Source organism: Homo sapiens, chromosome 8 (assembly GCF_000001405.40).
Source record: "Homo sapiens chromosome 8, GRCh38.p14 Primary Assembly".
NCBI lineage: Eukaryota > Metazoa > Chordata > Mammalia > Primates > Hominidae > Homo > Homo sapiens.
Genome location: NC_000008.11, coordinates 8,574,665 through 8,602,148, shown reverse-complemented (window position 1 = coordinate 8,602,148; position 27,484 = coordinate 8,574,665). Strand labels below are relative to the sequence as shown.

Genomic DNA, 27,484 nt, shown 5'->3' with positions numbered 1-27,484 from the left:
TCTAGAAACTGATTTTTTTCCCCTCAACTGATAAGTTAGCTGACAAAGGGGAAGGAAACAGGTCAAGTATAGTTTGATACCAAATTACCCTCATTATATTAAAAGAATAAAGTGATGACTTGAGCTCATGTAGATCAAAGAGAGAATGTATTGTGACTGTATTCTTGTTGTGGACATTGTTTGACCACAGCGTCGTGAGGAAACTGGAGCTGACGTAGCTGATTGACCCACATGAATGTGGAAGTCGGGTTCTCCCCAAAACATGCTCAGTCAGGACCAGGCCACAGAAGTGAGGCTAACCTGGGCTTCTCACCTGAGAATAGTAACATCGTAGTAATGAAGGCTGATGAAGCAATAGAAACAGGTGTTCATCAGATATTTTCCTAGAGATCTCCGGATCTCAGCCCACCAAGGCAATATGATCATGTCAAAGTGATTCTGCCTCCCCTTCCCACGATCATGATGCAACTTTTGTTTGTTTGCTTCTTATTTACTGAAGTAGTTAAATTTTCAATTTCCTCAGGAAATTATGCAAAACCTCATTTCCTGTAAAAAACACATCCCAGAGATTCAGATTTTACATCAAAAGTAAATATAAGGGATTGAGATTACTATCTATATTTTGAGCTGAGTCAAAAATTGTCAAAGAATGTGATTAAGTATGGCTATTTAAAATAAAGTAACAATTATAGAATACGTCTTACTTCATGGACTTTGGAATGCAAATACACCAGAATACAAGGACACTCATTTTTTTCCCTTTGTTTTGCTTTTTTCCTCTCTCTCTCTTTTTTTCTGGCAGTATGCAACTAGCTGAACAGTTCTATAAATAGAAGGAAGTATCATCATTTTAGGAAATATAATAGAGATAAATATGGAACAATAGGAGACAGATAGGAACACGTGGGCAGTCCTGTGTCTGCCATTAGCTATTCATGAAGTTCTGGGATTCCCAAATACACATCTAACAGTGATAGTCATACAGCTCAGAGGGAATCAGGAGACATCCTGGAGAAATAATTGTCTATGAGAAATTGCCAACACCTAAGTATAAATTAAATATAATCTTGACTAAGCGTTCCCTGTCATTAATCATTGTGCAACGTCGCTCCCATGACCTCCGGGCAGCATTAAACTCCAGGAAACATTCCTGGCTCTGTTCTAAAGACGTTGTGTCTGGGCCAGGAGAATGTGGGAAATAGCTTCTGCCCAGAGGATGGGGGTGGGTCTGGTATTCGACCCACCCCTCGACCCCTTCAAGCCCCAGGAAGGCAGACATTTCCACAGTCTCTGGGTCTAAAGATGACTAAGTCACGGGAGTAGTTTCTCATGCTGTTTCAGTGCTATCAGCTCACAAGGAATCTGCAAACACCACAGAGACAATTCCCTCTGGAAATGAGGCCCAGGCAGTCTGATTGGAGAACCAGAGACTGAAGAATCCTGAACGAATATCCAGAAATCATAATGTTATCTGCTTTGAAAGTAGTATTCCACTCACAGCTTTAGTTTACAGGGAGTATTCACAGACAATTCAGGGACCTCCAAGGATTCAGAATTATATACCATGGCAAGATTGTACACTTTACATCAGGGACAAAATGGTGCTAAAGTCCAAGCCCAAGCGTTCTCCCTTTCGGTGCACACTGAGTGATTTCATGTTCTCTCTTATTTTGCCACCCACTGAGGGAAGCGGTTAATTTAAAAATATGAGGTTACTCCCCAGTCACAACCACTGCACTGGTTTCCTGCCGGGCCATGCTTCAGGCGTTGGGTGCTCACACGACCTTGACCAATACAAAACTAAATCAGCCAAGACTCGAACACAAGACCTGAATTTTGGCTCTTGTTTAAACCTCAGAATCTGACCCTCTCTCCACGTGGCTCCTGACTATCTTGTCCTGCCCTGCAGTGCGTGATATTATTTTTGTGCACTCTGCTCTCTTTGCCTTGCTTTGGCTGCTGCCCTATCTGGTAGAGACCTAGGGTTGGCTTTCACTCAGTTCCATTCCAAAGCTGGAACAGGAGGAAAACAAGCTAGTTGCAAACCGTTCAGATGGCCTAGTCCAGGTTTAAAAACATTGCATCATGCACTCCTGTGGATGCAGGGCCAGCCATCTAATCCTATTCTCTACCAACAGTTGGTGAGGGCTGGAAGTTGGCCAGTAAGCCGGTCATGTGTCCTGGGGCCAAGGATTGCATTGGATTGTTTTGTTTTCCATGAAGGGAGTTGGTTCCAGGAAACTCAGTAGTGAGGAAAGCAGGGAAACGTTGCAAATATGCAGAATCTGAAGTGGTTGAGCCTGAAAAGGGGCATCCACACCAAGGTGGCAGAGACGGCACTGAAGCACTGTCACAAGAGCTGCAGATCTGAGGCCAGACGATGGCAAAAGGCAGTTCCATGGGTTAAAAAAAGAAATGTGTGAAAAGTGCTTTAGGAAAAGTTTTTGTGGATAAGCACTCAAAAAATGGTAGCTGTAAGGTTAATGTTTAAAGTAAGAGAGTTCTAGACCGTTCTTCTGTCTTTGTAATCATGCTCCTTTGAAAAACCGTATTTTTTTTCTGCCTACCTAGTTTCCACGTTAGGACAGGGTATTTCCCCATTAGGATTAAAACAAGCGTTTTAGAGTTGGATTGCCTGGATTTGAGTTTCAGCGCTGCCATTTGCCAGCTATCTGACCTTGGTCAAGGTAACCTGTTTGAGTCTCACTTTCCTAAGGTGATAGAACGCACCTCCTAGGGAAGTTGTAAAGTTTCAATGAGATACTTGGTGACAAGCCTTTTTCACAGTGACAGGTATTATTATTTTTGAATATTTCTTGTTTCTACTCTTGAATTTCCTTTTTCATTTTTTTGTTATTTAAAAAAAATGGTAGAGATGGGGGTCTCACCATGTTGCCCAGGCTGCTCTCAAACTCCAGGGCTCCAATGATTCTCCTACGTTAACCTCCCAAAGTGTTGAGACTGCAGACATGAGCCACCACGCCCAGCCAATCTTTCCCCTTTTATAAGAGTGAAATAATATATGTTAAATATCTGGCGTAGTTCTATATGAATATTAGCAGTCGTTATTATTATTATTAGCAGTAGTAACGGTCGTAGTCGTAGTAGTATATTTGGCATAGCTTGCCTCAGATTACTCAGAGAGTTCACGACAAAGCTGAAGTTAAAAACCAGGCCTCTGAAATCCCAGCCTATAGAAGATTTCATTTAAAGATGGTACCAAGTCCGGGCACGGTGGCTCATGCCTGTAATCCCAGCACTTTGGGAGGCTGAGGCGGGTGGATCATGAGGTCAGGAGTTCGAGACCAGCCTGGCCAACATAGTGAAACCCTGTCTCTACTAAAAATACAAAAATTAGCCGGGCATGGTGGCATGTGCCTGTAGTCCCAGCTACTTGGGAGGCTGAGGAAGGATAATCGCTTGAACGTGGTTAGCGCAGGTTATGGTGAGCTGAGATCGTGCCATTGCATTCCAGCCTGGGCAACAGAGTGAGACTCCGTCTAAAAAAAAAAAAAAAAAAAGATGGTACCAAAATGCCATCTACCTTTACTCAATGAAATCAGTTCCTGTTCCTGTTTATTTTAGATAGCATTTAGCAGGAATTCTCAAAGACTTTGACTTCTCCACTGGAGTATCTCCAGGCCGCAGTGCAAATTCCTAGGAGACGCTTCTCACTCCAGGTTTGGAGTATTCCCTTAAATATATTTGCATGAATGAAACTGGAGGTAATTACCTTACATGAAAGAAATTGGAAACAAATCCAAATACCCTATGTTCTCACTTATAAGTGGGAGCTAAATGGACATGTGGACATAGTGAGTGGAGTAATAGACATTGGGAACCCAGAAAGGTAGGAGGGTTGGCGGGGGGTGCTGAGGGATGAGAAATTATCTAATAAGGACAATGTACACTATTTGAGTGATGATTATACCAGAAGTCCTGACTTCAACACTATACAATATATCCGTGTCACAAAACTGTGCTTGTATCCTCTAAAGCTATAAAAAAGTGTACATATATTTACTGATTATATAAATATAAAAGACCATTCTTTTATCACTTAACATTTTCACTTTAGCTTTAAATCTCCAGGTGGCTGCAATCGTTAAAGATCTGGCTTTTTAATATACAGGATGGGGAGCAATGGGTGACCAAAGTATGAATACTAACTCCTGTCAGTGGTCCACACTCTGGGTTTTCCCTGCGGGCCAAACACCACCCAGCGGGTGGCACTTGGAGAGGTAGAAAGGATTTAGAACTCTGTTTTTAAAAAATATCTTACCACCTAAGAGATTCTTTAGGTTCCCGTGTTTCTAGCCTACTCGCTAATACCAGGGAAGCCTCCTAATCTTAGGCTTTCTGATGGAGGCAGGCAAGTCCAAGTCACCAGGAGAAGCAGATTCTTAAAGCTGCAAGTTGAAAGAGGCTCAGTGGTTATGTAAAACTGAGAGGGGAATCTAGAATGAGTAACTATTTAAGTTGTTGTAAAATATGGATCACCTTTGAGAGTGAAAAGACAACTCTTAGTAAATATGCTTGTGACAGCCTTTGAAAATCGATGTAATTCACCATCAAAGAGAAAAAACATATGGCCCTCCCCATAAATGCAGAAAAAGTATTCGACAAAATTCAACATCCATTTATGATCAAAACTCTCAGCAAATCAGGAATAGAAGGAAATTTCCTCAATATCATAAAGAATATTATTAAAGAAAGTATGCTGATAATATCATACTTAATGGTGACATATTGAATACTTTCTCCCTAAGATAAAAGATAAGGATGTCTGCTAGCACCTCTTCTATGCGAGGTTTTATTAGAGGTCCTAGCTGGTGCAATGAAGCCAGAAAAGAAAGAAAAGTCACAAAAATTGTAAAGGAAAAAAATAAGACAATTAAAATGGCAGACAATATTATTTGTGTATAAAACCTCAAGAAATCAACAAAACAGTTCGTGTATTTAATAAGGTTGCAGGATACAAGGAGAATATACAAAAGTCATTTGTATTTCTAAATACAAATAGTAGCAAACAATTAGAAAATAACAATTCCATTCACAATAGCACCAAAACGAAAAAGTTTAGGAATAAATTTAACAAAAGCTATACCACTATGGTGAAAACCAAAATATTGCTGAGAAAAATTAAATAAGGCCTAATAAATGAAGAAATACATGATATTTGGAAGACTCAATATTGCCAAGATGTCAATTATTCCAAAGATGATCAAAGAAACAAAACAAAACAAAAAAACAACCTTCTGCCTCTGGAAAGACAATATAAAGAAAATGAAAGCTCAAGACACATATTATGGGAAGGTATTTTCTTCTTTCTTTTTCCCTTTTTTTTTTTTTTTTTTTGAGATGGAGTCTAGCTTTGTTGCCCAGGCTGAAGTGGAGTGGTGCGATCTCGGCTCACTGCAACCTCCGCCTCCTGGGTTCAAGCAATTCTGCTGCCTCAGCCTCCCAAGGAGCTGGGACTACAGGCTCACGTGGCACGTCTGGCTGATATATATATATATATTTTTGTATTTTAATAGAGACAGGGTTTCACCGTGTTGCCCAGGCTGGTCATGAACTCCTGAGCTAAGGCAATACACCCACCTCGGGCTCCCAAAGTGCTGGGATTGCAGATATGAGCCACCGCGCCCAGTCGGGAAGGTATTTTCAATACGTTAATCGCCATAAGGGACTAGAGTCAGGGATATGTAATGGACTTCTATATATCCAAAATAAGGACAAACAGTCCAATAAAAAAACAGGCAAAAGATGGAATAGATATTTTACAGAAGAAGATGTGTGAATGATCGATAAGCACACAAAAACATACTTAATTAACATCATTAATCATTGGGGATATGCAATTTTTTTTTTGAGACAGTTTTGCTCTGTCATCTGGACTGGAGTGTAGTGGTATGATGACGGTTCCCTGCAGCCTCAACCTCCTAGGCTCAAGTGATTCTCCTGTCTCAGCCTCCTGAGTAGCTGGGACTACAAGCATGCACCACCATACCCAGCTAATTTTAAGATTTTTTTGTGTGTGTGTTTGTAGAGACTGGGTCTCATCGTGTTCCTCAGGCTGGTCTCAAACTCCTGGGCTCAAATAGTCCTCCTGTCTCGGACTCCCAAAATGCTGGGATTATAGGCATGAACCATCACCCTTGACCAGGGACATGCAGATTGAAACTGTACTGAGATGCCACTTCACACACACTAGAATGGCTAACATTTAAAAGACTGATAACCACCAAATATTAGCTAAGATGTGGAGGAACTATGACTGTCATATATTGCTGGTAAGTGTATAAAATGAAACACTCATTTTGGAAATCTCTTTGGCAGCTTTTTGTTTTTTAGAGTTAAACCTACACCAATCTTATAATCCAGTGAGTTCACTCTTAGTTATATATCCAGGAGAAATCAAAGCTATGCCAATGGAAAGGCTGTGTAAGAATGTTTATAGTAGCTGGGGGCAGTGGCTCACACCTGTAATCCCAGCACTTTGGGAGGCCGAGGTGGGTGGATCACAAGGTCAGGAGATCGAGACCATCCTGGCTAACACGGTGAAATCCCGTCTCTACTAAAAATACAAAAAATGAGCCGGGCGTGGTGGCGGGCGCCTGTAGTCCCAGCTACTGGGGAGGCTGAGGCAGGAGAATGGCGTGAACCCAGGAGGCAGAGCTTGCAGTGAGACGAGATCATGCCACGGCACTCCAGCCTGGGCAACAGAGCCAGACTCTGTCTCAAAAAAAAAAAAAAAAAAAAAAAAAAGAATGTTTATAGCAGCTCTGTACACAATTCTTCAAACTGGAAACAACCCACGTATCCATTAACAGTGAAATATACTCAGCAATAAAAAAAAATAAACATGCAATAGTATGGCTGAATCTCAGAAACATTATGTTGGGTGAAATAATCCAAACTTATAAGAGTTCAAATGTATGAGTTCATTTATATGAAGTTCAAGATTTGGAAAGGATAATCTATGGTGATAGAAATCAGAATAGTAGTTACCTGTGTATGAGGGTGAGAGGGGTTTGAGGGGTGACAGTATGAGGAAACCTGGGGTCATAGAAATGGAGTATATCTTGAGTTGTTGCTTATACAGGTGGATCTACTTGTCAAAACCTATAGAATTGTACTCTTAAGAGCTATAATTTTAACTATAAGTAACTTATATTTTCAGAGAGTTGGGGTCTTGCTGTGTCACCCAGGCTAGAGTACAGGGGCATGATCACAGCTCACTGTAGCCTCGAACTCCTGGGCTCAAGGAATTCTCCCACCTCAGCCTCTCAAGTAGCTGGGACCATAGGCATCCTCCACTGCTCCCAATTTGTAAGTTTTAACTTGATAAAAACTACATGGAACCGGCCAGGCGCGGTGGCTCATGCCTGTAATCCCACCACTTTGGGAGGCCGAGGCGGGTGGATCACCTGAGGTCGGGAGTTGGAGACCAGCCTGACCAACGTGGTAGAGAAACCCTATCTCTACTAAAAATACAAAATTAGCCGGGTGTAGTAGTGCATGTGCGTAATCCCAACTACTCAGGAGGCTGAGGCAAGAGACTCGCTTGAACCTGGGAGGCAGAGGTTGCAGTGAGCCAAGATCGCGCCATTGCACTCCAGCCTGGACAACGAGAATGAAACTCTGCCTAAAAAAACAAACAAACAAAAAACAAACAAACAAAAAACCTACATGGAATCAATATGTAAACCTGGGCAGTCCCAGGGAAACTGAGATATATTGTCACTTAAGTCTGGAGGTTTCCAGTGCAAGCTGGCAAAGTGACAAAGGAGTCCCTGTTTCTTAGGAAGAAGTAACGAAAAAACTAGCTGGTCATTGAGCAGAAAATAGCCTCCTTTCCTGATCCCCAAGTACAAAGAATGGAGACAGTGATTGAAGAGCTAACTGAAGCAGAAGACACTGATGACACAGGTCTGCTCTGACCTGGGTCTGCCCTGGAAACTATTTTCTCCGTTGTAATTGCAAAAACTAGAGGTCCCTAAACGCCTGACCATCTGGTCCCTGCTTGCCACTGGGACCCAGAGTGCTGGAAGGGCAGTTTTTTTCTGTCATATTGGCCCTGGGGCTGATTTTCTGGATCAGGAACTTTAGAAAGAGAGCTGGTGTATAATCCTGAAGCATCCGTATGCAGCCTTTTTCTCCGCTTGGATTTGTACTTGAAGGACTCTGTTTGCAAAGTGAGATTTCTGCTCAGCGGAGTTGTTTTTCTGAGAGACGCTGAATCAATGGCTTCTTTAACATGCTTTGATTACCTAATCTCTAGGCTGCATTTCAGCTTTTTCTTTAATTAAAGGATCCTTGGAGCTGAACAGAGAAAATCAAATCTCTTGAGAGCCTCAAAATTGGTTCACAGATGGAAAGAATATTTGGGAACTACCAAGTGCTAGTTCCCATTCTGGCATCATTCCTTATACAGAAGGGATAAACCAGAAAGTTGCTGGTGTTTCAACACCACATAGAAGAAAAAAGAGAAAAGCAAAGGGATCTCCTGTCTTGTAACTGTTCTTTTTTTTTTTTTTTTTTTTTGAGATGGAGTCTTCCTCTGTCACCCAAGCTAGAGTGCAGTGGAGCAATCTCAGCTCACTGCAACCTCCACCTCCCGGGTTCAAGCGATTCTCCTGCCTCAGCCTCCAGAGTAGCTGGGACTACAGGCATGCCCCACCACACCCAGCTAATTTTTGTATTTTTAATAGAAATGGAGTTTCACCATGTTGGCCAGGTTGGTCTCGAAATCCTGACCTCAAGTGATTGGCCCGCCTCGGCTTCCCAAAGTGCTGGGATTACAGGCATGAGTCACCACGCTGGGCCAGAACGGTTCCTTTTAAAAGGTCTTCCTCAACTGGCTTCACTTGACTGTTCCTTATAGTTTAATATTCCGAATAGGTTTTCCCTCATGGTTCTCCATCAAGGTTGAGGCTACCGTACCCTCCCTACCTTTCAGACTGGACACCTTGGACTCACTTTGATTCCTCACTCTTCCTTGCCCTCCGCAGATGATGATGGTCTCCAACTCCTGCAGAGGCTTCCTCTTTCAGGCCCAACACATCCATCCACGCTCATGCCCAGTAACACCTCCCCTGTTTAGACCATTTTTTCTTCTTCCCTAGACCATTGCAGTTGACCTGAACTGACTTCCTAACCTCTAGTCCCTGTCCCTGTCCAACCTATCCTGCAAAGGTATGTCCACTTATTTGACCCAATGTCCAGCTCAGATCACCAGATTTCCATATCACCACATCTTCAGTGGGCTACCATCACTTATGGAATTAAGCACAAACTCTTCTCTGAATCAGTTTTCTCTACTCTGACTCTCCCCCACAGCTTCAGTTGCCTGATTTCCTGCCATGCTTTTTCAACTCTGGGCCTTGGCTAATAATATTTCTCTTTTTTGGAGTGTCTTTCGTCTCTGTCCATTTCATTCTTTAATGCTCATTCCAGTGCTAATTCCTTTACGAAGTCTTCCCTGAACTTCTAATTGGATGTGTTCTCTTCCTCCTCTAAGCGTCTTAGTACATTGGAAGAAAATCTTATGAACGTACTTTCTGTCTTATAGTAAAGTCTACTTTTGTCTTATTTCCACTATTAGATTATAAACTCCTTGAAGGCCAGAGCCATGTTTGGCTTATCTTTGTAAGCCCGTCTATATTTTATACAGTACTTAACACATAGTAGTCCTTTAAAAACTATGAGTTGACTTCAATTTAATTCCTACTACTTAAAATTTGTATTTATACTACATAGGTTAGGATTAGTGTTAGCTCTCACTTTCCAAATAATCTATTGTGGTCTTCAGTTGGTATGACACATTAAAAATGAAGGGAAAGGGCTGGGTGCTGTGGCTCATGCTTGTAATCCCTGCACTTTGGGAGGCCGAGGCAGGCAGATCACCTGAAACCAGGAGTTTGAGACCAGCCTGCCCAACATGGTGAAACCCCGACTCTACTAAAAATACAAAAAAATTACCCGGGTGTGGTGGTGTGCGCCTGTAATCCCAGCTACTTGGGAGGCTGAAGCAGGAGAATTGCTTCAAGCTGGGAGGCAGAGGCTGCAGTGAGCCGAGACTGTGCCATTGCACTCCAGCCTGGGCAACAGGAGCAAAACTCCATCTAAAAAAAAAAAAAAAAAAAAAAAAAAAAGGGAAAGGCCAGAAGATAGGACTGCTATTTAATGAATTAATTTATTTATTTGAGACAGGGTCTCACTCTGCCACCTAGGCTGGAATGCAGTGGCAAAATCATTGCTCACTGCAGCCTCAAACCCCTGGGAACACGTGATCCTCCTGCCTTAGCGTCCTGAGTAGCTGGGACTACGTGTGCATGCCACCACACCTGGCTAATTTTTGTTTTTTTTGTTTGTTTGTTTGTTCAGTTTTTTGTAGAAATTGGGTCTTGCAATGTTGCTCACTCTTGTCTCTAACTCCTGGCCTCAACCAATCCTCACACCTCTGTCTCCCAAAGTCCTGGAATTACACGTATGATCCATCGTGCTAGGAGCAGCACTGATGTTCCTTAATACTCTTCAACTTTAAAGCATCATATACTTGTCATGGCCCTCAGTTAAATAGGTGCTGTGCTACCTTAGGAAATAAAATATGGGAGGTGTAAGAGAGCTGTGGGTCTTAGGAATTGTCTGGGAAGCAGAATGAGCTGGAAGCTTAGTGGTGGTTAACGACCTGCCCTGTTGCCTGTGACTACTGCAGAGTTATCAACAACTCAACAACTTTGGAGTCATGACCATTTTTCCTTTGGGGAACTGTCTACAAAATATTATTTTTGCTGTGTCTTAATATTTGATAAGGTTGTTCTTGCAAATGTCGGGCTTTCTAGGCATCACTGGAGGAACCTAGGAAAGAACATTTTTTTCTAAGGTTGAATGGGGTTTTAAAGGAAGAAGAGTTGGGTTTTATGATAGTAGGAGAAATTGAAATTCTTAAGGGAAAAGTAAATATCGATGGGTCAGAGGAATTTGGGGGAGTTGAGGTTGCTTTTACATTTCTCTCTCATTACCTAGAGATTTCCTTCTGGAACTCTTCTCGGATAAAACTGTGATGTGTTTCATTACTGTTTTAAGCAAGAGAGCCAGTATCTGTCCAATATGCTCAATAAATATTCACTGATGAATTGCTAATAAATGCCCCTGACTATTTCAAATGGATTAGCTCTGCTTGATGTGAGAGCCATATGGAACTTCCATCTAAGATGACTTCTAGCCCTCCTGCAGTTCAGAGATGACCTGGAATTGCATTTGTTTTTTGTTTGTTTGTTTGATAAACCGTGAGTGTATGAGTCCATTCTCACGCTGCCAGTAAAGACATACCTGAGACTGGGTAATTTATAAATAAAAGAGGTTAATTGACTCCCAGTTTTGCATGGCTGGGGAGCCTCAGGAAACTTATGATCATGGCAGAAGGGGAAGCAAATATGTCCTTCTTCACAAGGCGGCAGGAGGGAGAATGAGAAACAAGTGAAGGGGGAAGCGCCTTATAAAACTGTCAGATCTCATGAGAACTTACCACAATCATGAGAATAGCATGGGGAAAACTGCCTCCATGACTCAATTACTTCCCACCAGGTCCATACCATGACACATGGGGATTATGGGAATTACAATTCAAGATAGATTTAGTGGGGGACACAGCCAAACAGTATCAGTGGGCTTCCAATATCTTTGATACCCCAGCCCTGGACCCCTTGACTGCACATTAGACACTTCATTTGGACATGAGTGGATCCTAAATTTGATGAGAAAGGCTCTTCAGGTTATTTTTCATGTTTTCACAGGCCTTGCAGGTCACATGCTTATTTTATTCCTAATCTTCATCCAGTTTTTCCACTCCGTTGGTTTCCTCTTCTTCCATTGTGAAGAGCAGATTCTTAGGTAGGAGACCATTTAAGCCAATATGTTCATTGGAGCCTGTGAGGAATGCGGAACTCCTTTTAGTCCTTGGCAAGGAATGACCGTCCTAGGGAACAGAGCAGGAAGAGAAGAATCTGAGCCAGAGAGGCCACCTCTCCTCACTGTTTCTGGACAATGCTTCAGGATGTAGCCTTTGGGCTTCAGGAACCAAGTCCGGGTTTTAATCAGGACAGTGGTTCTGAAACAATTCTTTTCTAAGACAAGGTTTTCCCTGCCTCCACGGGAAGAAGTCAATGCAGAGGAATTACTGTCAACTGGGTTTCTACCTTTCTGATTTAAGGCTGTGATTAACTTTTTGAAAGTAAACATAAACATAGTAAAAAAAAAAAAAGAAAAGCTAGAATATATTGATAAACATTTTAAAATAAAAATTTAAATATTATAATGCAAAAATAGTATTATATACATATCAGGTAGATCCTTCTAGATATTTTTGCCAAGCAAATATACACACACATATATTTAAAAAATATATTCATACTAATTGCTCAGCCATCTGGGTTTTGTTTTTCTTTTTTTATTATTTATTCACTTGTTTGAGACAGTCTCACTTTGTCATCCAGGCCGGAGTGCAGTGGCACGATCCCAAATCACTGCAACCTCTACCTCCTGTGCTCAAGCGATTGTCTTGCTTCAGCCTTTCCAGTAGTTGGGACTGCAGGTGCATGCTATCATGCCCAGCTAATTTTTGTATTTTTTTTTTGTAGGGGTGGGGTTTCACCATGTTTCCCAGGCTGATCTTGAACTCCTGAGCTCAAGCCATCTGTGCACCTTGACCTCCCAAAGTGCTGGGATTACCGGCATGGGCCACCGTGCCTGGCCTGTTTTTCTTTTTTTAAAAACACATTACCTTGTGTAGTACTTCCCTGTCAATGAGTGTAGATATATATAAACATTTGCAGTGGCTTCATGAATATGATTTTAGGAATGTTTTATGTTAAGTGGTACGTATCGTTGTTTCAGCATTGGGTTTGAATGAAGTTACAGTCATTAATATTAATTATTTTGCTTAATTTTGTTTTGCAATGAAGATTCAGGGTTCTTTTGGTGTAATATTCATATTAATATTTGGGGAAATAATTCTGACATTTGGCCTAAAATATTTTTTATGTAACCCAAATATTATGATGTATCATTCGGGGCCATGCTTTCTCTCATGAGTTTAGGTAACATTAGGCTCTAGCTGTTATTCTAGGTTGGAGGAGTTCAGAGTCCCACCCTCCCCCCACAAATTCTACATTTTCCTTTCATTTTTCCCTGTTTTTATTTCTGATCCCATAGATTCTTCACTGTGTCACCTTAAGTCCGATTTGGATGTAAAGCCAAACGCAGAGCTTGCCTTTCTCTATTTCCCACAGGCAATGCAATCTCACTGTGTTTTGTGCTTAATTGAAGATCTGAGGTGTCATAGGGAAAAACCCCATCATGTGTTATACGGCCTTTCTCATTTTCCAGATAAACACCTTCCCCACTGCATGCTGGCTCTGCCATCACCCCCACGCCCTGACCCCCAGATCACACTGTTCCTCCATTGAGGAGCCACTCCATGTGGTGGGACAGTCTGTCCAGTGGGGCCCCCAGAATTCTGGTGAACAAAAATAGCACAGACATATAACTGTTTATTCATTTTGGTTTATTTGAATGGAATTGGCTACCTTTTGATGCTACCATTCAAATGGACTTATTCACTTAACATACAGTTATGGACCTATGGAGCAAAAAACAACCCCAAAGGATGAAGTCCAACCTCCTCATTTTGCAGAACAAGAAACCAGGGGCAATATTTCCAACCTCACTGGGATCTTTAGGACAGAGCCTTACTCAGAATTTCAAGTTTCTGGATTTTGATACCACTTCTTTGCATCATGAGACAAAATCAGGAGCCCTTTCCCCACCACAGAGAAAGAAGGAAGCCCCTGCAACTCCTAGCCCCATCTCTGGGTCAGCAGGATTCAGGACCAGAAGATACAGACAGAAGAGGTACAAAAAACATACAGATGCTTTAGGCTCTAAAGCATCCAGGCTTAAAAAATAGGCAGAAATTAAAGGAGACGAGTTTTCAAAGAGCAGAGAAAGAGTGAACTATTAGCATTCAAACCACGAAATCTAACGTTACTGCTGTGACTCCTGCTTATCTCATAAATCTGCCTAAGCCTTTGTGACCAGAAGGATGACCTCAGTTTGGGGACCCTGGGCCTGAGATCCAAGATTTTGAAGATTTGTTCCAGGAGTCGCCCTCTGACTCTTTATACAGTCCTTGGGAATTACCTTAACCTTTTTGTGAACTGACCCCTTTGTAAAGCAAGATAATATTACCTGCCTTCATACGATGCCTTTTAAAAATCTATGAGATTCCTGGGGGAGGGGGAAATGTTGTGTTTTAGTTTAGAGGGAAAAGTCATATTTTGCCCTTTCACCAACACTTAGATGATTATCTGAGATAAACAACGTAATTAAGTTTGTGTGTGTGTGTATGTGTGTATGTGTTTAATACTTTTCAGTTGAACAAAATGTAATCACCCCATGAATGGTTTCACCTTGACTTTTGAAAATCTTTGTTTCATCTTGGGATGTTATAGCTCATATCTCATAGGAAAAACCAGCCTTGGAGAATAAAATTTGAAATTATAGACAAATATTGCCATCTCTTGTAGAATGTGCCTGGAAATTCTCTTTTCTCTGTATGCATTATATGCATTATATTTTCTCTGTATGAATATAACATAATATAGAGTTCTTGCTGGCTACTGATATCTAGTCCCTTGAGTTAGGGTGCCAATAGCTTATTTGCAAGTCAGTTTGCTGATGGCTTCTAATTGTACAGCATCTGTTCTAATCTCTCTAGTGAGCTTTAAAATTGAATTCTAACTTCCTGCGGAGTCTCCACTTGAGTATTCCAAAGCCAAGTCCAACCAAAAATGTCCCGAACAGAGCTCGTCATTATCTTCCCTGTCCTCCATACCAAGTTGTCCTCTGTCCCAGTTAGTCATCCAAGCCTGACATTCATTCCACACCATTCCCCTTCTGTCACCCAGCACTTTTGAGTAATTGGGAAATCTTATGACTATATCTGAAGTCTTTCTCCTTTTCTTTGCAGTATCATAGTTCTAATTCAGTCCCTTATAGCTTATCTGAACTACTGCTACTTATTCAAAAAATATTTGTTGGGGATATATTGCATGCCAGGCACCATTCTAGGAAAGTGGGATACAATTAGTAAACCAAATGTACAAAGATCCCTGCCCTAGAATATTTAGGGGAAAAAAGAGGGCAGAAAATAAAAACATAATGAATGGGTAAATTGTACAGCAAATTTAAAAAATATAATGAATTTTAAGAAATTATGTAGTAAATTTAAAAAATAACTGCTGGCTGGGTGCGATGGCTCACGCCTGTAATCCCAGCTCTTTGGGAGGCCAGGGTGGGCAGATCACCTGAGGTCAGGAGTTCGAGACCAGCCTGACCAACATGGTGAAACCCCATCTCTACTAAAAATGCAAAAATTAGCCAGGTGTAGTGACACATGCCTGTAATCCCAGCTACTCGGGAGGCTGAGGCAGGAGGATCGCTTGAACCTGGGAGGCAGAGGTTGCAGTGAGCCAAGATCATGCCATTGCACTCCAGCTTGGGCAACAAGAGTGAAACTCCGTCTCAAAAAAGAAATGATAATAATAACTACTATGCATAGGACATAGGTGCTAGGAGGAATTTGGGTGGAGAAGCTGTAGTTTGCCTTTTTAAATAGGATAATTGGAGTAAGCCTTTTTGAGAAGATAACATTTTATGAAAGGCTTGAAGGAGAAAAGCCACGTGTTCCCTGGGGGAAAACATGGCAGACAGAGGGAAGGGGCCTTCAATTGGGAACGTGGCTGCTAGTGTGCAAGTGAAACAACACAGCTGGAGGCGCAGGAGCCAGGAGAGAGTGATTAGAAGTGCGATGAGGGTTCACTATGTGAACTTCAGCTGAACAGGACGAAGAGGCATTGTGGAGTTTTGAGCAGAGGAATCATGGGACCTGATGTTTGTTTTAAGAAGGTCACTCTGCCTGCTGCCTTGAGAACAAACTTAAGAAACCAGAGACAAACCGGGAGACAAGGCTGGCAGCTGTAGCCACAATCCAGGTGAGAGATATTGGTGGCTGAGACAGGGTGGTAGCAGTGGAGGTGGTGAGAAAAGGCAGGTTGTAGAAATATTTTGAAAGTAAAGACAACAGAGTTTCTGGAAATACTGGGTTGCAGTGTGAGAGAAGTACAGGAGCCAAGGATAGGGAGTTTAGTGACCCAAAGGGTTTACCTGCCCATGGCTTCTCCCGGTGCAGCAGTACTTCCTCTGCGAAATTCATCTTCCCTCCTTTTTTTTTTTTTTTTTTTTTTGACGGTGTCTCACTCTGTCATTTAGGCTGGAGTGCAGTGGTGCGATCCTGGCTCACTGCAACCACTTCCTGAGTTCAAGCGATTCTCCTGCCTCAGCCTCCTGAGTAGCTGGGATTACAGGCACATGCCACAATGCTGGGCTAATTTTCTTTTTTTTTTGTATTTTTAGTAGAGAAGGGGTTTCACCATGTTGGCCAGGCTGGCCTTGAACTGTGACCTCAGGTGATCCACCTGCCTCAGCCTCCCAAGATGTTGGAATTACAGACATGAACCAACACACCTGGCCCCCTGCTACTTCCAGGGCAATCCTTCTATGGGGCAAATCTGGACCTGTCTCTCCTTGCTTAAAAACTTCAGCAGAATCTCTTTCCCTAGAGCCCCTTCATTTGTTACAAGATGCCATCTCTGAGGTGGCCCTGCCTCACCATCTTCGTTTCCCGCTTCTGTACCTTGTACTCCAAACCATCTGCAGGGGCCTGCCTGCACTTCCAGGAGGGATTATGATTTTGCCTCTTAGACAATGGTGTTTTATGTTTTCCTAGTTTGCTTGTGTGATACCTTGTTCCTGAAACTCTCTTTTCTGCTGATTTGCCCAATTGTTGGGAATTCTATTTGTACTACAATATCAGACATTTAACCGGGGAAGTGGAGGTTGCAGTGAGCCGAGATCACACCACTGCACTCCAGCCTGGGCAACAGAGCCAGACTCAATCTTAAAAAAAAAAAAAAAAAAAAAAAAAAAGTAATGCTGTATCCTGAGTTGCAACCTGGAGCCCTGTGGACTGGGGAGGGATTTGGCTTAATTTAGATTCACAAAGACCCAGACTCTGAGCATTCTTTAGAAGCTGGACTGGCCACCACCCGTGGGTACCCACTGTTCCTGGTGCACACCTGCCATAACAATCATTGCATCACATTAAAATGTGTCTGTTTCTTTTGGGACTGAATATAAGTTCCTCACTCCCCTCACCTGCAAGTACTTGGCACATTACTGGGCACAAAAAGTAAAACTGACCCTTGGACAACACAGATTGGAACTTCAGAGATTCACTTATATCCAAATTTTCTTCCACCTCTGCCGCCCCGAGATAGCAAGACCAACCCCTTCTCTTCCTCCTCCTCCTTCGTCTACTCAACCTGAAGACGACAAAGATGAAGACCTTTATGATAATTGATGTTCACTGAATGAATACTAAATACATTTTCTTGGCTGGGTGCAGTGGCTCACGCCTGTAATCCGAGCACTTTGGGAGGCCGAGGCAAGCAGATCCTGAGGTCAGGAGTTGGAGACCAGCCTGGCCAACCTGACGATACCCTGTCTCTACTAAAAATACAAAAATTAGCTGGGTGTGGTGGTGTGTGCCTGTAATCCCAGCTACTCAGGAGGCTGAGGCACGAGAATAGCTTGAACCCAGGAGGCAGAGGCTGCAGTGAGCCAAGATCACACCACTGTACTCCAACCTAAACGACAGAGGAAGATTCCTTCTCAATAAATAAATAAATAAAGTACATTTTCTCTTTTTTATGATTTACTTAGTAACATATTCTTTTCTCTAGGTTGCTTTATTCTAAGAAACAGTACATGATACATATCACACAAAAAATATGTATTAATCGATTGTTTATGTTATCAGTAAGGCTTCTAGTCAACAGTGGGCTGTTCACAGTTAAGTTTTGCGGGAGTCAAAAGTTATACGAGGATTTCCGACTGCACCAGGGTATGTCCTCAACTCCCACACTGTTCAAGGTTCAACTGTGGAAAGAATTCCATGAATGTCTGCTGCTCTGGTTTGTATGTGCGGAGTCTGGGTCTTCATGAATCTAAATGAAGCCAAATCCCTCCCCAGTCCACAGGGCTTTTGGTTGCAACTCAGAATATAGCATTACCTTTTTTTTTTTTTTTAGATGAAGTCTCACTCTGTCACCCAGGCTGGAGTGCAGTGGCATGATCTCTGCTCACTGCAACCTCCGCCTCCCAGGTTCCAGCGATTCTCCTGCCTCAATCTCCGAAGTAGCTGGGATTACAGGTGTGCAGCACCACACCTGGCTAATTTTTGTATTTTTTGGTAGATACGGGGTTTCATCATATTGGCCAGGCTGTTCTCGAACTCCTGACCTCAGGTGACCCACCCATCTTGGCCTCCCAAATTGCTGGGATTACAGGCCTGAGCCACTGCGCCCGGACTAGCATTACCTTTTATCCCCGAAAACCCAGAGGTCAGATGAAGTCAGTGTAGTGCCTCATGTGGCTAATGACTTTCCCTCCATCCCACTTCAGGTTCTCTCCGCATTGCTTCAGCCACCCTGGGTTCCAGGGGGCCCACATGCCCCTTGGGTATTTCTGCAGTGAATCTTGTACATTTTACATTTCTCTCCAGAATATAAGGAAACAAAAGCACAGACAGCGTTTTCTCCTGGCAGTCCTGGTGACTTCTCTGTGTAGGGTTAGTATGGCAGTGGAGATAGCCCAACAGAGTGACCAAGGGACATGTCTTTGTGGCGAACGGAGGTTCCCTTTGTGGCCCAAGTCTGAAAGAAGCAGATGGGGCCATTTTGCAAGCTTTCTACTTAAAGAAAATCAGGAATAGAATAAAAAGGGGTTTTGGACGCACAGGCTCACGCAACAGAGCAGATGCAGGAAGCATCAAGCTGAGTTTTTCGGGAGGAAAAAAAAAGAAATGAGAACCCGAACAAGGCATTCCCCCTACAGTGAAATAAAGACCCCAATGCTCCATTACACTGTCTGTTTAGCTCTCACAGCAGGGGTCCTGGGATTGCAGCCAGGTGCACAAACCAAGGCTATTTGCTGAAAGACAATGGCACCCAGCCTTTAGCCAGTGCAGCCTCGCGCATGTGCTTGGGAGAGCCACAGCCTCCGAGTGGCTATGTTGGTGGCAGCCTGGCAACCTCACGTTTTTCTGAAGGCTGGAGGGGCTGGGGGAGAGGCAGTGTGGAGGAGTTGGCAAGGGCAGTGGGTCTGGGGCTTTAAACAATCTCAAATGCCCTGTGGCTTTCTAAGTCTTTGGTAAATTACCCTTTATTCTCTTTGTTAAGCCTCAGCAGCCTGGAATTGTCTCCTCAAAAGTCAGCCATCTGTTCCCCTCCTGTCTATATTCCGACCGCAAAAAAGGGGCTTAATTTCAGGAAAAGACTATTCTTTCCTTTAAAAATAATGGAAAAGGAGCCAGGCACGGTGGCACGTGCCTGTAGTCCCAGCTACTAGGGGCGTGGGAGGCCTGAGATGGGAGGATCGCTTGAGGCCAGGACTTCTGGGCTGTAGTGCACCATGCCAATAGAGTGTCCACACTAAGTTCAGCATCCATGTGACCTCCCAGCAGTGGGGGACCACCACATTGCCTAAGGATGAGTGAAACCACCCGGGCCGGGAATTGAGCAGGTTCAAACTCCCATGCTGATCAGTAATGGGATCACGCCTGTGAATAGCCACTGCACTCCAGCTTGGGCAACATAGTGAGACCCCGTCTCTAAAGAGAAAAAAAAAATTATAGAAAAAAATAACAGAAAAGGAAATGGAGAAGGGGAAATGAATGAGGATGAAAGTTTTAGAGATATCAAAGAAGAAGGTGGGCATTTCTGAAAGAGAACCCTTAAAAAGCACATTGTGAATTTCTTGGTGACTGGAGTTTGGAGGAGTGGCACATTAGTCAGCATGTTGCTGAACAAAAAAATAATATGTATCAAGCTAGTTTTAAATGCAAGGAACTGGACTAGGTGCTGTGAAAGGGGTTTGCGGGGAAGACTTTCAAGGAATAGTTCTTGAACTCAAGAGAGACAAAGTGTAGAAATTTAAATAACAATGTAAGAAAAAAAACAGCTCAAGAAACGTTGCAAGATGAATGTCAGGTACAGGCTAGAAGTTCTATAATCATCTAGCACAGGGTGCAAGCACTGTGAGCTGAAAAGTTTCAAGGAAGGGAAAGTGAATATAAGGAAATGGAAAAGATCCACAGAGGCACCAAGTTCACTTTCCTATCCAAACAGAATCCTTTCTGCAGCACACAGCTTCTTTTGAAGTATTTTTGATTACAGGCATCCATTACCTCCTCAAGTCCAGCCCTTTTGTTTTGAGAATGTTATTTTTTTTCTAGAAAATTCTCAACACAGAGCTGAGGACTAGCTTTCTTTAACTCTTCTACTCCCTTCTTTTTTCCTTCTAGGCAAGATAGTTTTGCACAGCCCCTCTTTAAACTTGAGGACAATCTCCAGCAGTTCCCGGGTCCTCTCCTCTCAGGACAAAGCACCCCTCCCTGTTTCCCTCATATGGTTGGGAATCTAGCTGTCCTCTGGCCTCATTCTAGTATGGAAATTCTCCTGTCCCCAGGGGGTGCCCAGCCATGAGCCTAGGACTCCAGATGTGATTTTTTTTTCTTTTTTTTTAGATCGAGTCTCACTCTGTCGCCCAGGCTGGAGTGCAGTGGCATGATCTCAGCTCACTGCAACCTTTGCCTCCTGGGTTCAAGCGATTCTCCTGCCTCAGCCTCCTGAGTAGCTGGGATTACAGGCGTGTGCCACCATGCCCAGCTAATTTTTGTATCTTTAGTAGAGATGGGGTTTCACCATGTTGGCCAGGCTGGGCTCGAACTCCTGACCTCAGGTGATCCACTCGCCTCAGCCTCCCAAAGTCCTGGGATTACAGGCATGATCCACCACGCTCCACCTCCAGATATATTCTGATAGATGATTCTACAACCATTATTTATCATTCTCTAAACATGATTCTCCTATCCATACAGCCTAACGTTGCCTTGGGTTTTAGCTACCACACTGTAAGTGGCAAACCTATGATCAACCAAAAAAAAAAAACTCTTCAGTCTTTTCCACTTAAACTTGCTGCTGAGACAGGTGTCCCCTGCTTGAGCAGAATGTCGAGAGGGGCAGATGTGGAGATCAAGTGAAGGTGTTTGGATTGGGGGCAGGTTGGAGCAGTCCAGGTGTTCAGTGAACTGAGGAGCTGCCAGATATCAAAATTTACTTTCAGTCAGGCACGGTGGTGCACCCCTGTAGTCCCAGCTACTTGGGAAGCTGAAGCAGAGGATGCCTTGAGCCCAAGAGTTTGAGACCAGCTTGGGCAATATAGTGAGACCTCGATCTCTAAAAAAATTTTTACTTTAACACTACAATATTAAAATATTTTTATACCAGCATGAATACAGATTGAATAGAATACAGAAACAGAGACATGGAAATTAAGTATATGTTAGAGATTTCTTTTCCAATAAGTAGGCAGCTATGAATTATTCATATACGGTATTTGGAAATTTGGCTGTTTATTTGTTTGAAGTGACAATTCAATGCATTGTTATCTACCACTATGCACCCAAATTAAGTTCAGATATATTAAGGATCTAAATGTTATAATTTATAAATATATATAAAAATCTTCCCCCAAAAGACATAAGACCCCAAAAATGTTATTTAAAATGTCGTACACAGGCTAGGCACGGTGGCTCACGCCTGTAATCTTGGCACTTTGGGAGGCAGAGGCGGGCGGATCACGAGGTCAGGAGATCGAGACCATCCTGGCCAACGTGGTGAAATGCCATCTCTACTAAAATATAAAAAATTAGCCGGGCATGGTGGCGCGTCCCTGTAGTCCCAGCTACTCTGGAGGCTGAGGCAGGGGAATCGCTTCAACCTGGAAGGCGGGGGTTGCAGTGAGCCAAGATCGCGCCACTGCACTCCAGCCTGGTGACAGAGCAAGACTCCGTCTAAAAAAAAAAAAAAAAAAGAAAGAAAGAAAGAAAATGTTGTACGCAGCAGAAGACTTTAGTGTTTTTTAAGAATAAAACGACTCTGCCTTTGTGGTACTCGCCAAGATGGATAATGGATCTTTTGCATGTGAGAGGGTTGGGCTGTAAAGGAATGACTTTTTTAAGAGAAAAAAACAGGTAGCATTCCACAAAGTATTATAAAAATAGAACATACTATTTTTCCTGTAAACTTTCCAGATTCCAAGTCTTTTCTAACTGCACTACCAAGAATATCTACACATATACATGTAAATATGAACATATGATATGTGTGTATATATCCATACATATATAAAATATATAAATATATAATATATATGAAAGAAAAGTATCAGATGTTTCCAGGGTCCCTGTTTGATATCACACTTACATATAATACCCACTTTCTCTAAACCCCGTCCACATATTCCTTACAGGAAAGCTGTCACCCGGCTAAACGCAGCTGATGACACTCAGAAGTCTTGGTGATAGAGAAAACAGCTCCATACAAAAGATAGTGAGACAGTTTTTCTAAGAGTAAAAGGGCTCCAGGCATGTGGTAGAGCCTCTGGAAAATACCGTTGAATGAATAAGTGATTTAATGAACAAACAAATGAAGCACCAAAGGTTGAAGGGCTTCTAAGTTTTTCACCCTGATGTGGGTGGGTTAAGGACCTATCAGAGGCCTTGAGAAAAAACTGCCCTTACAGCCTTAACCCTGCAGGCCTTGAACAAGATGGACATTTTGGCTCCATTGATCATCCAGTTTACTTGTTTTTCTGTCCATCTCTCCCCTGTAACAATATGGGCTGTTCTAGCTGTAATTCACCTCTGGAGCCATCAGAATCCTCCTGGTAAAAATGGCCCTAATATCAAACACAGAGGCCACTGCTAGTAAACTTTATAAATCGAACAAGAAATCATATGATATAATCAGATAAGTAGCCTTATTTTGTCTCACAGTGTGTCATCATAACCCTGCCCCTGGGTTGACTACTCTCTGACAACATGGTTTGGTAACTCTTTGGTAAAAGTTCTTCAAACATTTCAAGACACATGGTGTCATTCCAATAATATAAACGTCCAGGCTGGGTACGGCGACTAACGTCTGTAATCCCAGCACTTCCGGAGGCCTAGGCGGGCTGATCACTTGAGGCCAGAAGTTTGAGACCAGCCTGACCAACACGGTGAAACCCCGTCTCTACTAAAAATACAAAAAAAATTAGCCGGGCGTGGCAGGTACACGTCTATAATCTCAGCTACTCAGGAGGCTGAGACAGGAAAATTGCTTGAACCTGGGAGGCAGAGGTGGCAATGAGCTGAGATAATGCCACTGCACTCCAGCCTGGGAGACAGAGTAAAACTTGGTCTCAAAAACAAAACAAAGCAAAACACAACACAACACAACAAAAAAAGTCCAGCCCCAGGTAATACACTTTAAACTTGAGTTAACGTTAACTCTTGCCTCCCCCTGCTGGACCCCACTGAGAGCTGCCTGGTTGCTGGGGTGTGGTATGGCGGGGGGTGGAGGTCCTCTTACCCTCATAGTTTGCCAACTGGGACCCAGGCAGGCAGGGGAGAGGGCAGGGAGTAAGGGGATGTTGGAAAGTTCTTGCTCAACTGCTACTGGTCTGAGGTGACTCACTCTCTTGGGATCTCTAGATTTTTAAAACCAACTTTTTCTCTCATCAGCCATTTTGTGGGATATTTGGAGACTCTCCTAGCGGTGCTCCTCAGACCGCAGATCTTGAGATGTGGTCAATTCCCTTTCATCAATGGCCGCTCCAGGTTCAGACCTTGTTTTTTCGTTGGTTTAGGCCATGAAGAATTTCTCCATTGGTCTCTCCTCCTTCATGTTGGCCTCTACCTGGATTGTAAATGGATCCAGGATAGCTCATTCTCACCCAGGATCCTTTTTGGTTCTATAGGAAACATTTATGCATTCTCTGCCCAGGCTGACTCTGCATATTCTAGGAAATCTCAAGCAGCGACTCTTTTCAAAAAAGTTTTTCTTTTTTTTCTTTTTTTTTTTTTTTTGAGATGGAGTCTCACTCTGTTGCCCAGGCTGGAGTGTGTTGGTGCAATCATAGCTTACTATGGACTCCAACTCCTGGGCTCAAGCGATCCTCCTGCTTTAGTCTCCCAAGTAGATGGGACTACAAGCATTTGCCATAATACCTGGCTTTTAAAAAGTATTTAAATAATTTTATTTCCAAATTAATATAGTAACCTGAGTTCAGTTACCAACACATTGAAGATTTGAAAATAATTATTTCCTTTTAGACACACTCTTACTCCCAGCTTTTCTTTCTTTAAACGGAGCAAATAACTTTTGTATAGGTGGTACAAACGTAAACTTTAGTCAAGTTCAAGTCCCATATCAACAGAATGCACATTAGAGAGATTTTATTATACTGTTGTTTATTTGGTATATTGTCTTTAAAAAAAATCAAAGAATACATGCAAAAGCTCAAAAGACTGATTCTTCATTGTTTCCAGCTGAATGTGATAGAGATGAAAAGTGGGTCATTGTTACTTGACTACATCATAAATTTTACATGAATGCTTCAGTTGACAGCTATTATTTATCATAACTATGCTCTTACTCTGCTACCTATTACAACCCTTTAAAAACCCACAACACCACCTCTGTGTATTTCCCACTGGGGTAAAAGGCATTTAAAATATAAAGTATCTTTTTTATGCTAAAAAGGTCACAGTTACTAATCTTCTACTATATAGCTAGTATTACTCATGCTGTTTTTATTTATAGGGTGCTTAACAGTCAGATAGTAGTTAACCTTTCCAATCATCCCGGGCAGGAGCATGTTAGGAAATCATTTCAAATTAGTGCAGAGATCCCAATCAGTAAACTCAGGAATTAGCAGAGGATCCTGGAATGAAATGATGACATCCAATTGACTGAGTACAGTATGTAGAATGTCTTTCAGATAAAGTTAATTTAAGAAATATATTTTTAAATTTTTATTTATTGATACATCATATTTGTACATATTTACAGGGTACATGTGATATTTTGTTACATGCATAGAATGTGTAATGATCACATCAAGGTATTTAGAATATCCATCACCTGGAATATTTATCATTTCTTTGTGTTGGGAACATTTTAAGTCCTCTCTTTCAATTATTTTGAAATATACAATATATTCATGTTAACTATAGTCACCGTAGTCTGCTGTCAAACATTAAAACCTATTCCTTCTATCTAACTATATGTTTGTACTGATTAACCAGCTTATTTTTATCCAACCCCCTTCTCCCCACCACATACCCTTTCTGCCCTCTGGTATCTATGATTCCATTCTCTACCTCCGTGAGATCAATATTTTTTAGCTCCTACATGTGAGTGAGAACATGCAATATTTGTCTTTCTGTGCTTGTCTAATTTCATTTGACATAATGTCCTCCAGTTTCATCCATGTTGCTGCAAATGACATGATTTTATCAAGCCAGTGACTCTTCTTTACAGAGTGTCAATGAGCTCAGCAACACATCTCTCCTAACTTCCAGATTTCCTGGACAGAGTCAGATGTCCATCCATTCTGCAGCCTCAGCCACAAAGAACACATTTGAAGCCCTCCAAACAATTCAATTAAAGCTACTCTCACTCGTCACCTTTAGATAGAACTCATAGCAATCAATTACCCCTTCCAAACCAACTCCCCTCACACATTCTTTCTGATTTCCCTCTCTCTTGACCTTTTTATACTTCTGGTATGTGGGAATAGCCCTTGGGTGCAAAGCCTAAGACTTGTCTAACCACTTTTCAGATATTTCTTTTGAAAAATTGATGCTTGTCTCACAACGAATTTCAATATTGGATACCTTAGTGCCTCAGTTGAGTAGTTTAGTATATTTTTATACTAGTTGATAAAATCTTACTTTTTGTCCCAGGTTGATGGCTCTGATTCTATGGCTAAATGGAGACCCTACTAGTAAAATAGGCTTATTAATCTTAATATGAGTATGTTAAAAGCCACAGGACAAGGATTTTAAAAAGGATCATCTGTTTAACTTGTTTTCTGTGGTAGCCAAGCCTCCAAGATGGTCCCTGCCCCCTGGGATTCATATCTTTGTGTAGTGTGACGAAATCCATACTGGCTCAGGGTTGCTGGTCTGTTTGATCAGTAGAATACAGAGAAGTAATGAGATGTTACTTCCAAGATTAGATTATAAAATATTTTGATTTCATCACACTTGCTCCTTGTCTCATGTAGATATTTGCCCTCAGGGAAGCCATGTTACGATCAGTTTCATTCTGGGGAGAAGCCATGTTGTGTGATCAGTTTCATTCTGGGGGTGGGGGAAGCCATGTTGTAATCAGTTTCACTCTGGAGGAAGCCATGTTGTGACCAGTTTCATGGAGCGTCCCACATAGGAAGGAACAGAAGCCTCCTGCCAGCAGCTACATGACTGAACTTGGAAATGGGGCCTCCAGCCCCAGAAGCTAAGTTTTCAGAGACTACAGCCGCTGATGACAGTTCAGCTGCAACTTAGTGAGACATCCTGAGCCGGAACCATGCAGCCACCCCATTCCTAGATTCTTGAACCTTAGTAACTATGTGAAACAAAGTGTTTGTTATTTCAAGTTCCTAGGTTTGGAGCTTTTTAATGCAGCAATAGAAAAGTGATATGACGTATAAATAGTTGGACTAAAGTTCTTCACATTTGCAAAGTGTTTTGCAAAGTATTGCATTTACTAACATAACTGAGTCCCTCTATATTCTAAAGTCCATTATAAAAATAAAATATAAATTTATTGGACTCATCTTCATTCCTTTCAAAATATTTATTGCAGGATTTCTTTGCAAATATAAGCAGAAAAATTAGGTATATTTTTCTAACTAAATGATTTCGCATTGAAACTGTTCTATTTTTGTCTTGCTTAATTTTTATTATGTTCTTCTGAGAAGAACAACCATTTAGCACCGGAGAACTGAGGCAGAGACTACAAGAGGCTTTCAACAGATGATTGTGCAGCTAACAAGGGAAGGGAGAAAGAGGGTTAACCTGGGTCTTACTGACAGACTGTGCCCCTATGCTGAGTTACGTTTCCAAACACAGGGATGTGAGAGTTTGTTAATGTAACTGATTCTTCATAGTATTAAGCATGTTTCATCTTTTATCATTACTAAAGCATCTGAAAATAAAAGTCCTAAAAACAGTAGTGTGAGGGGGTGGGGGCGAATTCAGAATTTGCTAATACATCAGTAGCAAACTGACAAATTCTATTTGGTGCCATGTGAGAAGCCTAACACGACTCATTAGAGCATAAAACATGTTCCAGAAGCCATTCCTAAGGTAGCCAGGATGAAATACACACAATCTCTCTGTCCGCGTCCTACTCTTTCCCTTGCAGCGGGAATATGAATTCTGAAACTGCATTTGTAATGCGGAAGA

The 27,484-nt window shown here is 42.1% G+C and overlaps 1 pseudogene, besides 1 other annotated feature; it reads left to right on the top strand.

Moving 5' to 3' along the window:
• Positions 18,827-19,326: an enhancer, noted in NCBI's record as "H3K4me1 hESC enhancer chr8:8440333-8440832 (GRCh37/hg19 assembly coordinates)". NCBI's record gives its function as "activates a minimal SCP1, AML or CMV promoter by ChIP-STARR-seq in naive H9 embryonic stem cells {active_cell/tissue: H9 hESC(naive)}" and the evidence as "EXISTENCE:reporter gene assay evidence [ECO:0000049][PMID:30033119]".
• RN7SL178P (RNA, 7SL, cytoplasmic 178, pseudogene) lies at positions 19,494-19,797 on the top strand (annotated as a pseudogene).